This window comes from Homo sapiens, chromosome 6, assembly GCF_000001405.40.
Source record: "Homo sapiens chromosome 6, GRCh38.p14 Primary Assembly".
Classification (NCBI taxonomy): domain Eukaryota; kingdom Metazoa; phylum Chordata; class Mammalia; order Primates; family Hominidae; genus Homo; species Homo sapiens.
The window spans coordinates 81,482,499-81,499,503 of NC_000006.12; the positions used below are offsets into that span (position 1 = coordinate 81,482,499).

The following is a 17,005-nucleotide window of genomic DNA, read 5'->3' on the forward strand; positions in this document are numbered from 1 at the left end:
TTCAAGATTTTATCCAGTATATTTATGCTTACCATAATATAAAACAAAATTTTACTGTCATTTGGATAGTTCTTTGGTTGAGCATTAATTTCTAAGTCCTGTCCAAGAACTCTAAGTTAAAATTTAAGACATTTAAATTTAAAATTTAAATATATAAATTACATAAATTTTATTAGATAGTAAGATATGCTTTCAACTCATGGCTGAATCTTTCAAGTCTCAGAATACTGAATACATTATATTACAGATTCAAGTAGTCATTTGTCACAAGTCTCTTCAATAATCAGGAATTTCCTTGTGCATTTAAGTAAAAATGAAGAATCATAATAGTTTCATTTATAAAATTCTAAGCTTCTTGAAGGCAGAACTTTATCTAGCCAATATTATACATATTTATTTCTAAAATGTGGGCCTTCATCTTTGAATTCAGAAAGATCAAGGACAAGTTTGCTAGATTTGTCTCTTTTCAGAAACTATATTCTAACTTTGCTCATTTATAGATCTGGAATTAATCTAGTAAATCTTTATTAGTATATGCATTATATTAGTGCTAAAAATAATTCTGAATAATTATTATGTGATGAAGATTCATTTGGGCCCAATATGTTTTGGGCCCAATATGTTTTGATTATATTTTAGGCTTAACAAGGGGAAGTGAAGGGTGTTGACAAGATTGCTACCATCACTCGTAGAGAATAGCATTTATCTAGACTTTAGTTTCACATGTTATATCTGATAACACTAGGACATAAAATAGTGAAGTATTCTATTTGCACTACATTTTCACATGATTGGGAAAGAATTTGAACTCATCTTCCAATATATCCTACTAACAAAATTTTTTTGAGATGATGAATAGATTTGTTCTTATAACCAGTGTGGAAAGTTAACTCTATGGGGCTAAACAAATTCTCTTAACGTCAACACACAACACAGGACAGGAGACAAAAAGTAATGTGAGATTATATTTTAGTATGCCATTAAAAATTTTGTTAGCCCCACTGTTGTGTTAAATACTCTTTTCAGTATTGGTTTGCATCTGCTTGTTTCTATCCAGCTATTGACTAGCATGGTTTATGCTGAACTGATGCATTAGTTTAAATGTTTTGAGAGATGGATCTAATTGACACAGCTCACTTTTTGATGCCACGGTTATAACTCTCCACCAAGCGTGACTTGTGCTGACATCATAGCAAGTGGGCAAAAGAGTTACTGACAGTTCCATGAAGAATGGAGGCCCATGAACTTCTCCTGTGGCTACCAGAACAGTCCTGAATCCAGCTATCTTACGGCTTAGTGTCTGCTTCTTTTTAGACGTTTTTCAGATTTCACTTTAAATTTACAGTAAATCTCAGATTTTATTATTTGAGCTAGTTTGAGTAGCTTCTGTTCTTCATAAACAAAGAGCATGTTCCAGAACAGGGTGTAACACTCTTGTCAGAAATTTTGACTTCCACTTTTTTAATCTTAAAATATGTAGTGTAACTAATAGACATTTTTATAGCCTTAAAAAATTATTGTTTTGGAGAAAGTTAGAAATTAAAATATGGCCCACTTTCATGAAAACAGGCAGTAACATCAGCATACAGAAAATGAACAAATGAGCGTACCAATTAGAATTAGGAAATAGAAAAAAAAGAAGAAGAAAGAGAATAAAGGAGAACAACTTTTGCCTTTGTTTTGTTTTCCCAGAGATTTAAGTGTTTGGCAGGAAAGTTGCTTTAAATTTAAATATGATAGTAGGTCGTCGCAAAAGTAATTGTGGTTTTTATTGCCATTCAAAGTTAATGCTGTTAACTTTTTTGCCATTACTTTTAATGGCAAAAAAATGCAATTACTTTTGCACCAACATAATACTATATGGTAGCTGAGTATCTTTGTAGCTAGACTGTTGTGATTTAAATTATAGCTTGCTAAATTTAGCTGGATGACTTAGGAACAACTGTTTGGAAAAACCCAGGAACAACTGTACCTCTCTGTGACTTAATTTCTTATCCCTTAAATCAGTAGACTAATAAAGTTTTAACTAATAATCTTAGGTTCTATAAAAATAGATTAAAATCCTTTTGTGTATTCCTAGTAATTAGACAAATATTTGACATTTATTATATCCTTCTATTGGACAAAGAGAGGATGATAAACCTAAATAACTTTGTGATCTGGCTAGGATATTGGAGGACAAGAAGACTGAAGCTTCTTGCTCAGTTGCCCAAGACAGTATGGATGCTTCACATCAGACTGTGGGAAACACAGTAGTCCCAGACTATAACACAGGTGTTATTCTTCCATCAGAAAAATCTTACAGTGTGAAACTCTTTATCTCTTTATTATCTTTCCAACGAGGAACAGCTACTAAAGTGTTCAATACGCTCTGGGATTGAATAGCACCTTGGCAAAAAGTATGTGCAATGATTCATGATAGGTAGTAATTTGATCTTGGTACCAAGATCTCCTTATGGTTGGTGCTACAAATCTATAATCAAAAATTGTCTACTCCCTTACCCTGGCTTGATGGCTTATAGGGTTCTAAGCTCTGAATCCTTGCCTGTGGAACTACCTCACCATCTTTATGGGTAAATAAGTGACTCATGGTTCTTTCTTCGCTGCCTAGTTTCAATCTTATTACTTTGATAATGTAAGGGAGGTACGTGGTGTACTCCAAATCAAGACTGGTTTGAAACATCCTGAGTTTGCTGTCTATATTTCAGCTATTCCTCTGTCAGATTAGCTTTGTTGCCTAACCTTTTGGTAAGATTTGGTCCTGGGCTCTTGGATCCTGCCACCCAGAGTCTTGGCATTATTGTACCCAACACTTGCCTCTTTGAGAACAGCAGAATAGGTGGATATCATGACAGGAATAAAAACTACTATATGCAGAGTGAATACAATGTTTCAGAAGTATACTAGACACTTCAAATGTGTGTGTGTGTGTGTGTGTGTGTGTGTGTTTAATCCTTATGAAAAACTAGATTAGGATTATTAGCCCATCTTACAAATAAAAAACCTGAGACTCAGAAATTACATATAACTTACCAGAAACAAAACCACATAATCAGCACACAGTGAAATTTCTGGCCCCTCCTCATTACTGAACAGAGCAGAATCACATCTGTGACAGCATGGTTAGTAATTAGATGCTGCCTTCATCTTTGGCTTGCTTTCTTTCACTTCTTTGTGGGGAGAACTGCTTATGTGATTTATTTGTTTGTTGTTGTTTCTAAATACATCTCAGCTATTAAAATTAATCAGAGTTTCCTGGAATCAGCCACTCACTGTGACCCATGTTATACACAGACACACACACACACACACACACACACACAGATATATTATATATTAATAATTATATATTTATATATATATATATTAATTTCTTGACTTTCAGTTTAACCTGGAGATGAACAGTATAATGGTCAATACACAGTTTTTGCAGCTGGGCAAAAGTAGATTTAAGTTCTGGCACCAGCACCAACTGGTGTGTAACTTGGGTCTAATTACTTAATGTCTGATATGGTTAGTCTTTGTGTTCCCTAAAATCTCATCTTGAATTATAATCCTCATAATCCCCAGGTGTCAAGGGAGAGACCAGGTGGAGTTAATTGAATCATAGGGCCGGTCCCCAGCTCCCCATGCTGTTCTGGTGATAGTGAGTTCTTATGAGATCTGATGGTTTTACAAGGGGCTCTTCCCCCTTCGCTCTGCATTTCTCCTTTCTGCCACCTGTGAAGAAGTTGTCTTATTTCCCCTTCACCTTCTGCCATGATCATAAGTTTCCTGAGGCCTCCCCCCAGCCGTGGTAAACTGTGAGTCAATTAAAGCTCCTTCCTTTATAAGTTACCCAGTCTTGGGCAATTCTTTATAGCAGTGTGAAAACAGACTAATACAATATCTCAATCTGAGACTGTAAATGGAAAGCTCTTAACAGGACTTGTGAATCAATGAAGAGTAAGTGTTCAGTAAACACTTAGTTGTGTTACTATTTCATAATGATCCATTATTATCATGTTCTTCAAATACACCTGCCCAATTCTGTGTTCTGAAATGGGGTCAAGCAGAATGTAGGGCAAATAAAAGTTAAGTAAGTAACATAAAAACCCAAGACTTGAAACAACAGTTCTTTCTTTTCTTTCTGGTCCTAAGAATCCTGTTCTTAACTGCCTTTCAAGAGAAGAAAATACATAGGAATGAAAGGTTTAAAGCTTGAAAAGGTGGGAAACATGGTTGCACTCTAACTCTTCCATGAAAATTCAATTGATCTATTATAGCAAGTAGTCACTTTGTAACTAGGGAAGAGATCATGGTTAATGGGCTTTTAATACAGAGGTTATATGAAACCAGATTAATGAACGACGGGTGACCCAGAATTTACCAATAAAATGCAGAAACTTCTGTCCTGAATCACTGATTCAGGCCTGGCTATATTGTCATAATATTTCATACCATAATAATTTTAACCGTAGTACTGTGGACACTTCGTACATATAATTTTCAGGCAAACATCGGTCCTAAAAATTCTTTTTAAATATTGAGTGTATATTTTCTCAATGGCTAACTGCCAAACTCAGAATAAGCTTCTCAAATTGCTTTAGCCTTATATTTGGTAATCTATAAAATGAATCCCTTTCTTATATTGACTTCCTATAGCTCTACCAGTGAGCATTGCATATAAAAAATGATTAACAATTTTAAGTGTCAATCAGTTGACCTGTGTTCCCATTGTCCTAGTGTTCTATCAGCTGAAGCAGATAGTGTGGTGTCTCTGGCTTCCATTTTTTCATCCAAAAAACAAAAATCTTAATGATATCTGTTGTATGGTTTTACAGTTAACAAACAGCTCTCCCATACATTGCATCATTTCATATAACAGCCTCTTTCTCACCTACCTCCTTTGGTTGCTGTGGATATAATAATAGTTAATCGGTATGAAAAGCTTTTGAAATGTTAAAGAGACAAGTCAAATGCATGTAATAATAGTGGTTTCACAACATAATTAGAAAATACTACAGAGAGAATCCATGTTATCAGTGTTTAATCAGACAATGTTCTTAAACCATTAACACAAACCTCCACTGGAAATTTTAGCTAGGGAGAAATTAATTTGTACTGCTGAATTCATCAGCAAGCAAGCCAGCCAGCTTTCTGTAAGCCAAAGGCAGAGCAGCCAATGGTGGAAAGCCTTGTCAGCTCCATGCCCAGTGCAGCCTCTGATTGGCTTATTCTGAACAAGGACAGTTTGTAGCTGTTACGCCAAGGAACACACACAATGCAGAAATGCTTTTCCTTTTACACTTCCCACTGGTGTAGTAAATAGTAACTTTTGCCAACCATTCATAAAACTCTTTGCCACACACATCTAACATGTTTATTTTGAGATATACTAAAAAATATGTAATCTTTACAACGGTTCAATGTTTTTCAAATCTCGTTTTTCTCTCTAAGCTTATGATTTAAAGGCATTTACATAGTTAAAAAGACATTTGAAAAGCAAAAAATTATGAGCAGTTTCTTTAAAATATGGCATAAAAATAAAATTTGAAAAGTCCTTGACTCAGGAAAGCAGCAATCTATTTTTGCTTTAACTTGAAAACCTGTAAATCTAAAAAAAAAAAATTAAAAAAAAACCACGGTGAAACAGTCTTAAGTTGTCAATGCCATTTTTGACAGGGATTTAATGAGTTACTGGCATACTTTCTATTTATTGTCCGTTTTAATATCTTTTTAAATTAATAAATGCAAATCATTATAATGAAGAAATCTATAGACAAGAATATGAACTAATTTTTCTCTATTTTGAAAATGTATGACTATACAATTAAAATTTAATAATATATGATATAATAATTTTTAAAATATAATTTAGCATTTTACCTAATTAGACAACAGAATCGCACTGTTGAAAACTTAAAAACTATGTCGTCAACTCATAAGAACTCTCAATAGAACGCCTCAGTTGGTGAAAAGGAATTTGTTGAAAAATTTTTAAATGTTTGTTAAAGTCCCTTTGGGACTTTTAATGTAAATGTAATATACAGCTATAGCAGTAAAAATGTGTGAGAAAAGTATTCTCTGTAGATCAAAGCAGGTAAATCCAGCCCTCTGTTTTGCCTCCCCTTCTCCAGCAGGACCAGGCAACATAGGTTTCCATTTCTGAAAGCTTACATATAATGAATGCTAACAGCAGTCAGTTATCTTCATGTGTAGAGACACAGGATCTATTCTACATTTGTAGGAGAAACAGATACATTTAATTCTCAGCATTATGCTAACCTGTATAAAATAAGGGTGCTCTTACAAATGTATAACAGATTTAAGCATTATAAAACTCTTCATTTATTTATTTGTGGCCGAAAATGTTTTGTATTTTTTCTTTCTTAATTTTCAACAGATAAAATAAGAGACTGTTTAAAAGTCTAACAACACAGGTGGGTATAAACGATTGATTTTCTGTTACAGGGAGAATAGTGTGTTTGGAAATGTACTAAGATGAACTCATAGAAAGTAATAAAAGCTGATTTTAACTGCTTAATTGCTATATTCCAAAATGGGGAAGACACAAAGAACATGGATCTTTATTTATAAATTCATGATTCCTTAGGAAAACTTAAACGTTCTCCTCTTATTTCATACACATTTTTCAAGTATTTCAACCAGTACTATAACTTCAACCAACATCTTGCACTCCATTCAAACTATTTTACTCATTTCAAGACTTATCAAACTCTTCCTGTTAGATGTCTCATGATATCTAAAACTCATTATCAATCCATTAAAATCCTCTCACCTCCATAAATGCAACCTCCTCTTACCCAAACCAGAAATCTTGGAGTTAATCCAAACTTTTATCTTTCCATTTCTTGGTATGACCAGTAAAGCCATGTTGATTTAGTATGGTGGTTCCTCAAACAACTAAAAATAGAATTACCACATTATCTAACAATGCCAACTTCTGGGTATACCTTGAAAGAAACTGAAGTCAGTATGTTGAAAAGATATCTGCACTCTGATGTTTATTGCAGCATTATTCACAATAGCCAAGATATGGAAATAAACTAAGTGTCCATCAATAGATAAATGGATTTCTTGAATGTGGTATATATACACAATGAAATACTATTCGTCTTTACAATGAATGCAATTCTATTATTACAAACAACATAGATGAGTCTAGAGGACATAATGCTGCGTGAAATGAACCAGGCACAGAAAGACAAATATCACATAATATCATGTATGTGGAATCTAACACAGCCAAACTCATAGAAGTAGAGAGTAGAATGGTGATTACCAGAGGCTGGGAAAGTGGGGTGGTGTGAGCAGGGAAAGGGGAAATGTTTGCAAAAGGGTACAAAATTTCAGTTAGGAGAAATAAGTTCTGGTGATCTTTAGCACAGCTAGGTAAATATAGTTAATAATCATGTATTGTATATTTCCAAATTGCTAAAAGGGTGGATTTTAAATGTTCTCACCCCCAAGTGATGATAAGTAGGTGAGATGATGAATATGTTAATTAGAACTGATTTGCTCATTCCACAATTTTTATGTGTAGTAAAACATCATGTTGTATCCCATAAATATATACAATTATTTTAAAATATTTGTCAGTATTAAATTAAAATCAAAATTTAAAAAAAGCTTATCGATTTTAGAGATTTAAAACTCAGAAAAAAATGCTTGGCTTTAGACAGAAAGGGGTCATCTCTCTAAAACAGGAGGAGAAAAGGAAGAAATGCAGAGCATAGATTCAGGATAAAAACGAGAAGCTGAAGAAATATCTATCAGATGGCTTCGCTATTCCTTGTGAAATCTTGTGCTCAGTGTGGGGATTGAGGTAAGGGAAGAGAGAGTTTGAAGAAAAGTTTGAAGCTGCTGCTGCGGGAATGGGAGAGGAAGCTGAGCAGGGAATATTAGAAATTTTGCCTCTTGTTACTGTTACCTCATTGAGACTGAGACCATGAATTTTAAAGAGCCAATCTGGGACATTATGTAATTCTAGTAGTACTTTTCAAGGTTAGATTTGGGCAAGAGGAAGATACTCGAGTTTATCTAGAATTGTGATTTTTCCAGGTAGGTGTCACAAAAGGTAAGTGGGGCAAGAATGCTGAAATTAATAATAATAGGAATAGAATAGAGTTTCAGCCCTCAAGGAAGGCACTGGGATGTTGTTGTTGTTGTTGTTGTTGTTTGAGGGAATAAATGAGAAATGGCACAGATGGGGCTTTGAGAGTTAGCATACTAGCTACTGTCCAGTCTTCAACATACATTATTTCATCCATGAGCCACAACAAACCTATATTGTAGACACTAAAATTATTTCTACTTTACAAATTAAAAGTGGAAGACCTCAGAGAAGAGGAGTTATGTATCTATCGTCATACAACTAGGACTCAGTGGATTTAAGACTCAACCAAGATCAAAAGTAAGGTCTAACAGACCCAAAGCCCATTTACTAAACTTATGCTTCAATGAAAGTAATGAGTAACAAGATCCTTCCCCTTTAAAATTCTATCTTCAGAAAATGTACAATTAACTTGAAGATACAAAGCAGAATTAGAATTACTAAAATTCATAGATCAAGATTGAGGACATTATTAATTCCAAATGGGATTCTGTCAAACAATAATATTTGGAAGCTGTGTAAAACTTTAGAGGATCCAAAGAACTTTCATAAATTTTATCTCAATAATCAAAACAATTGTATGAACTAGATATTTTGTCATTTCTATTTTATGGGTTCCAAGAGTTAAGGGATTTATATAACTTACTAACCAGAGTTTTGCCTTTTGGTTTTTGTTTGTAGAAGCCCCTAGAAAACTCAAAATGATAATAAATATGTTCTTAGCTAACTTTTGCTTCATACATGAGTTTAATACAGTGAAAAGGTAGAGTAAACCTTAATACTTTTTTTTACTGTTTTGTTTTTGAGACTGTCATGAGAACATATTTAGCATTAGAATTAATTTATTTTGAACTCTTGGAGAGAAAGTCTGCTTACTTCATATAAATCAGATGGGGTTTACACTGCAAAATAGTCCAAAATCTCTCATGTGGAGATTTGGCTACTTTTCATTCTTTTCTCTGTAGAGGTCACAACTTAAAATTCTTGCAGATTGTCTTCATTCTGAAAGCATGTGACAGAAGCTTGCCCAGTCCCCTCAGACTTTGGACTCTTCTGTTGTCTTTTGCCTGAGCAAATAGAAAAATACATAAGTAAGTAAATAGTGAAAAATAAATTTAAAAGTGCTGGTCTATGCAAAAAAAAGTATAGAGCATAAAATAGACTATGAAAGAAAGATCTAGAAAGAAAAACAAGAGAGCTGCCCAAGTGACCAGCATGTTTGACTTTCTTCTATATACTTTGGCTTAATTTACTACCTCTTTTCTTCCTTTCCCCTAGAAGGTCTTCTCTTGTCCTACTCTGTACCTCCTAGAGGAACATATCTGGCTTCACTAAACCAATAGGCCTAGGCAGATTATTGTAATTCTCTGTACCATTCCTTAGTAGTGACACTTGTGATTTATGTTACTCTCTCAGTGCCACTGAAATGGTTTAAACAGGTATCTAAAAGAGGTCTGATTTTTATAATTCAATTTATAAGACCAATACTATCTAAGAAAACCCCAATAATAGTATGTTATTCTGAAATAGAAATGTGTTGAGCTTTGGAAAAAAGCAAAGATAAAACATCTGAAAAAAATTGTGATAAATAGTTCATTTCTTTGTGTTGTTACCCAAAAGAGAAACAGAAATTATGTCAAATGAGAAAAATAGGAGCTTGACAAATAATAAAGACAAAAATCTACAGTGTTAAAAATCTATTATTAAGCATGCTGACTCCTGGATTGCATCTACATAATTTGAGGGTAAAAGTGTGGTATTTATTTAAATAATAAAGGCTGTTTGTTTCTACATATTCTATGACTTTATTTAATAGTGTTTGATGAGAAGGACAAGAAGAAAATTAGCAGTAGTAGTAACAGTAGGAGTAAGAGGGAAAGGAGACAATGGAAAGAAGCAGGGGAAAAGCATTACATAATTTTCATTTTTCTCAGTGATTTGTTTATTCGTTTACAGTCATGTGCCACTTAACAATGGGGATACATTATGAAAAATGTGTCATTAGGTGATTTCATCATTATACAAACATCAGGGTATACTTACACAAACCTAGATGATATAGCCTACTACACACCTAGACTATATGGTATAGCCTATTGCTCTTGTGGAACATGTTACTGTACTGAACACTGTAGGCAGTTTTAACACAATAGTAGGTATTCGTGCATCTAAACATATCCAGCCATATAAAATGTACAGTAAAAGTATAGTATTATTTTATGGGACCGCCATCTTTTATGCAGTCCATTGTTGCCTGAAATGTCATCATGAAGTGCATGACTGTATTTAATTAATTATATATTTATTTATTTTTTTTTGAATGGGGGTATTGATTCCCAGAGGGAGGAAAACACATTCTGACTTACATACACATGGTTGGAAAAAAAGAGTTAAATGACATCACTACAATGTATATCTGTCAACCGGCAATCGAAATCATCTCCATGATTGAAGGTACATTTTTAGTGACCACATAATCACATGTAGGCTATCTATCCAACGGTAGCTCTCAGTGGTTTTGATAATGCAAACAGGCTGTGTTTTCTGCTAAAGATAAGTGTGTTTTTCTTTTACAGACAGATGTTAAAATCTGTATCATTAAAGTTTATTTCTATTTCGATGAAAGATTCTTCATAACAAAGCTATTTTTATCTCACTATAGAAATTGGTGCTCTGGTGATCAACTTACAGAAGATACTCTGAGGGACAAATCAATACAATCAAGTATTTAGAATATCTAAATTCATGTATTTTGTTCCTAAGTGACTGGCCTTTGTACTATGCAAGTTCAAGGAAGAAGACAAGAAGAACGAATACTTGCTGTTTCATAGTTTAGAAATTGATTTGAAATTGATTTTCAAAATCCCTTTCCATTTAAACCATCCCAATTGACTCTGACAAAAATCCCACTAAAATTATCACTTGTTCTTCAAAGGGCATAATGTTTATCTACCAGCTCAATGATCCAGGAACCCTTCAAGGAGCAAAGGAATAGGAAATGAATATTGAGTCAGAATACCGCTTTTTCTTCTACTTTATTCAAACAACTAAATTTTTGAAACAAGTTCTTCCAGGACACGTGAGGATCCTTTAATCAATAATTATATATTATATCAGTCTCAGTACTAGACAAATAAAAAAAATTCTACACTTAAGAAACTCTTGTTTTGGTAGAACATGAGCAGATTTATTAGTATAACCAAAGAATAGAACAGGAAGGCAGAGAAAATAACAGAAAACCCCTGAGGGATGTAGGCTTTGAGCTAAGTCTTAATAGTAACTTTTCACTGGGATATAATAGCGGATAAATAAAGTCATTCAAATCACAGAGATGAGAGCAGAGAAAAATCTTTTAAAAGACGTTTAGCAGTCTAGTAATTTTATTGGGTCAGAGTACAAATTGTTGAAAGGCGACTGTGAAAGATCATCTGGAAAGGGGAAAGAAAGACCTTCTATGAAATGTCAAGTAGCTTAGATTCCAACCTATGGGCAATGGAGATGCCACCAGATTGGCCCTTAAGAGCCTTCAACAATCATGTGATAGGTAGACCAAAGGCAAACAAGGATGGAGACAGAAAAAAAAAAAAAAAAAAAGGAAATTTCAGATCATGACTAAAGATGGAGACCAAAAAGAAGCAGTGTGTTTGGAAAGTAGGGGACAAATCTGAAATATACTAAATAAGCAGAAGTATTAGGATTTCATTATTGATTGGTTTGGTGTGGGTGGGTGGCAACATTAAAGAATCTAGAATGATTCCAAGATTTCTAACCTAAGCCACTAGTTAGAGGATAATTTTAACCACTAGGAAGGAAGAATAAAAATAATGAGTACATTTGTAAAGAAGGTAGGAAATTAAGATGATTAGACTTAGGATATTTCAAGCTTGAGGTGCCAATAGGATCAAAGTATAAATGCCCAAAAAGCATTCATACATGAGTTGGAAGTAAGAAGAAGGACTCGGGACACAGAGATTATAGAGTTACATGCAGGAGGATGGTTATTTAATGTAAAGTTTTATTTTATATGGAGTCCAGGAAGAGAATGTAGAAAATGATATAATGATAGAATTTTTGAGAAATAATAAAGTATTTTAGTCAACAAGAAAAGATCAATTCAATCAAAAACATGGAAAGAAAGATCTAGGCCTTACAGAAGGGAGAGGTTTGGCTCTAGATGGAAGGATTTTCATTGACTAGAACAAGATTTTCATCTTAACCTGAAACACAAGAAAGATGATTACAGATGATTATAGACATAGTGATGTAACATTGAAGGAGGAAGGATGGTCTGTTTTTTTTTTCATTTATTGAAAGGGGTCAGATATTTTTCTGAAAGTTGTAAAATATGCATTGAAAGATTAGGTTGTTAATGTTGCAAATAGTTGAAATAATTCCTGTAGAGAGAATGAGAAAGCTTACCAATGAGGTGAAGTAACTCACTCCATGGAAGTAGAAGTTCAGCTTATGTTCAGAAAATATGTGGTTGTGTGACTTTCTTCCTAAAGGGAAAAGCAGATGGTTACTTTGATGCAGAAAATGATTATAAGGAAGTTAAAGATCCTGTCAAGAAACCATTGAAGTACTGGTTCATGAAGTCTAAGCTGGTTTGGAAAAGACATGTGAGAGTATAACTGAATAAAAATAAAAAACGTGATCAATGGTCTTGATGTCTTGCTGAGGCCACAAAGCAAGTTTTAAGAAAAGAAGGAGATTGGAAGATAGGTTAAAACTATGTGTTTAGAAAAAAAAAAGGTAAAAACAAAAAACAAACAAACAAAAAAACTATGTGTTTAGGCCGGGTGCGGTGGCTCATGCCTGTAATGCCAGCACTTTGGGAGGCCAAGGCAGGTGAATCACGAGGTCAGGAGTTCGATACCAGCCTGGCCAACATAGTGAAACCCCATCGCTACTAAAAATACAAAAATTAGCTGGGCATGGTGGGGCGCACCTGTAGTCCCAGCTACTCAGGAGGCTGAGGCAGGAGAATCGCTTGAACCTGGAGGTGGAGGTTGTGGTGAGCCGAGATCATGCCAGTGCACTCCAGCCTGGGCAACAGAGTGAGATACTGTCTCAAAAAACAAAACAACAACAACAACAACAATAACAACAACAAAAAAAAAACAAAACCAAAAACTACTATGTATTTAGAAGTGTGTTAGATTTGTTTTGTTTAGAAGTAAATAGTAAAATTATTTTAAAGTTTAAAATATCTGTGAATCTTCAACTGGCTCACTATCTTCTTTCAATCCCAGTTTCTGCCATTTTTCTAGATAATTTTACTATTTATATGGACAACCACCCATACATATCTATCTTCAATTTTTTTGACTTTTCTCTCTTCATTAAGATTCATTTCCTTTAATAACCCTAATCTCACATGAAATTAAGATGTGTATTAATAATTGAAATACAAGATAGGCCTATTAAAATGGTCACATTTTGGGGATACTTTCTCAACTCAGCTTCTGTCTTGTGAGAATCCCAAGCAACATGAAGAGTCTATGTTTAGATGCTTCAAGTGACAATTAGCATTACTTCTCAGTTATCAGAGTTGGCCATCTTGTATGTCCAGCCCAGTCAATTCTTCAGATGATTGCAGATCTGGTTGACATCTGCCTGCAACCTCATGAGACTTTAAGAAAGAACCACCCATCTCAGCCCAGGCAACCCACGTAAGCATGAGACAAATTAGTTGTTATTTTAATATATTACATTTTATGGTGGTTCATTATGCAGCCACTGGAACAATCTATGTCATGTTCAATTTCTGCTTTTACTGAATAAATTTTTAGTAATTAATGTCAAGATTCTACTATAGTGAATGGTTTCTACTATAATAAATGGTCTTCTGTACAATTCTTTATAGAAAGATTTAAACTTCAAGCAGTATTTCTCTAAACACCATAATTCTTAATTCCTAAAATGAATATAAAATTAGCCAGGAGAAAAATGTGAAGAAAACTGCTGGTTATTTAGAATCAATGCTTTAAAAAATCTTTAAAATTATTCATATCATTAGGTTATAATAAATTGGGAAGGGTCTTTTAGTATTTGCCTAGCATAACATATTGTTCCTTTGGAAATGGAATATTTAATTAGTGTGAATCTCACTGTATTATTGCCCCAGACATAGGAGGTAACCATGCTAACATCAAATATTCATATTTAAATTCACTTGTCAGCACTACAATTATTAGTTTCAAAGAAGTTAGATTTATATGACAATACTTAAGTCTCCTTTCAACTCTAATTTTTTCTAATTCAAATGAAATCTTAAATCCTCAACAACAAAAATGATGACAATGACTATGTTTTCATTATTAGAAAACAACTATTCATAAAAGTACATTTTTCATTTAAAGGAAAGATAAACTAGCACTTGATGTATGAATGTTAAGTTGGTCTGTAACAGATTTTCTACAAAAATTAAGAATAATATTTGGGTTAATTAATATTAATGTTGAAATCATTGGTACCCGTGAGAAAAATGACACTTGAAACTCATTGCTGGAATGTGTTGATAGCTCACTAATGACTAGAGATTTGCTAGAAAGCCCAAAATTCACAAGAACAAGATCAAACATCTCAGGTTCTTACTTCAAAAAATAGTTCTGAGAAATTGCATCCACAGGCCTGTTAGCTGTGCTACATCAAATGTGTCCTCACATTAGTACCATAATCTGTTAACATTATGAAAGTGATAGAGAATTAGATTAATTAAAATTTCCCATTTTCTCAATAAAAAATAGATTTTATCTTTTTTTCTTTAAATATCAATGGACTGAGTACCTAAGAGAACTTTTATTTGATTTTAGTGGCAGGTTTCTTTTTTTTATAAATATTTCACATAACGGCTATTTCACATTTGTGAAGAAATAGCTGAAGTGTAGGTACACAAAATTACTCACAAAATGTGAATTCCAGAACTGTAATTATTATTATCCTAAACGATGTGCATTCAAAGTAAAATTTAGGTCATTGTAGCTATGCCACTTCTGCATGCAGTTCGGATAAAACTCTTATATATTTGAAGACTTCACAGTACTGACTAAGCTGGAAAACTTTGCCATAAATCTAGGAAAGCTCTACAGGCACATATTACCCCTCATGCAAAAAAAAACTCTTCCTAAAAGTACAAAATAAAAAACCCACATATAAGCAACTGGAAAGTATAAATAAACTATATACATATGTATTGCAGAGAAAAAATATTTAAATATATGAAGTAATACACAACACACAAGGAAGACACTAGGTAAATATGTCCACAGCCAGATTAAAAATACAACTTCAGAGTACAGAACAAGTAAAAAATAAAAAAGTAGAAACTCACAAGTAAAAACATAAATCAGAACGGCCAAAAATAGCATGACTAGAATAAGGATTTTATGAGAAAACTGAAAATCGAAAGAAAATAAATCATTTCAGAAATAAAGACACACCTAGGAAGAACACACAAGTTACTAGAAAAGTAAAGGAAAGAAAAATAAGACAGTGGAGACTAAGATACTAAAAAACACATACACTTTAAAAACTCAAAAAATGATAAATATAGAGGCCATGCAAAACAATAGCCAATATAGTTCTTCTTATAGAGATCATTCACCTCTTTGGTTAGATGTATTCCTAGATATTTCATTTTTTTATGGCTAGTTTAAAGAATTGTGTTCTTAATTTGGCTCAATTATATTGGTATATAGAAATGCTATTGATTTTCATACTTTTTTTTATCCTGAAACTTTATTGAAGTCATTTAACAGTTATAGGAGAATTCTATTGTAGACTTTATGGTATAGAATCATATAATCAGTAAAGAGAGATATTTTGCCAACTTCTTTTCCAATTTGGATGATTTTTATTTCTTTGTTTTGCCTAATTGCTCTAGCTAGGAATTCTAGTACTATGTTGAAAAAGAGTGGTGAGAGTGGACATTCTTATCTTGTTTGAGTTATCAAGGAGAATAGTTCCAGCTTTTGTCTGTTCAGTATGATGTTGGCTGTGGTTTAATATACATCCCTTTTATTATGTTGAGATATGTTTCTTCAATTCCTAGTCTGGTGAGGGTTTTTAATCATGAAATGGTGTCGAATTTTATCAAAAGCTTTTTCTGTGTTTATTTGGAGATGATCTTTTTTTGTTTTTAATTCTGTTTATATGGCAAATAACATTTATTGATTTGTGTATGTTGAACCATCCTTGCACTGTATGATCAACGCACCATTGGTCATGGTGAATTAACTTTTTGATGTGCTGCTGGACTTGGTTTTCTAGTATTTCCTTGAGGATTTTTGTGCCTATATTCATCAAGGATATTGGCCTGAAATTTTCTTTTTTCATTGTTTCTCTGCTATATTTTGGTATCAGAATAATGCTGGCTTTGTAGAATGAGTTAGAGAGATGTCCCTCCTCCTCAATTTTTTGGAATAGTTTCAGCAGAATTGGTACCAGTTCTTCCTTGTACATCTGGTATAATTCAGCTGTGAATCCAGGTGGTCCAGGATATATTTTGGTTGGTAGTTTTTTCCTTGTTTTTTGGTTTTTGTTTTGAGACAGAATCTTGTTATGTTGCTGAGGCTGGTCTCAAACTGCTGGGCTTAAGTGATCCCCCTGCCTCTGCCTCTCAAACTGCTAGGATTACAGGCGTGAGCCACCACACACAGCCTGGTGGGTAGGATTTTTATTACTGATTCCATTTCAGAACTCGTTATTGGTCTATTCAGGGTTTTACTTCCTTCCTGATTCAATCTTGGGAAGTTCTGTGTTTCTAGGAATTTATCCATTTCCTCTAGATTTTCTAATTTGTGTGCCTGAAAGTGTTCATAATAGTCTCTGAGGATCTTTTATATTTCTGTAAGATTCGTTGTAATATCATCTTTGTCTTTTCTGATT

The 17,005-nt window shown here is 33.5% G+C and overlaps 1 long non-coding RNA gene across 9 annotated transcripts in view; it reads right to left on the reverse strand.

The window, feature by feature from the left end:
• LOC105377871 (uncharacterized) overlaps positions 1–17,005 on the reverse strand; it is a 105,003-nt gene that overhangs the window by 37,257 nt on the left and 50,741 nt on the right. For 8 of the 9 annotated variants that reach the window (XR_007059659.1, XR_007059660.1, XR_007059663.1 and 5 more), the window contains 2 exons: positions 12,536–12,615; positions 6,980–9,183 (listed from right to left, as the gene is read on the reverse strand). This is a non-coding gene — a long non-coding RNA (uncharacterized LOC105377871). Of the gene's footprint in view, positions 1–6,979; positions 9,184–12,535; positions 12,616–17,005 lie in introns of those variants that run through there. The other variant, XR_007059658.1, reaches the window with a different exon arrangement.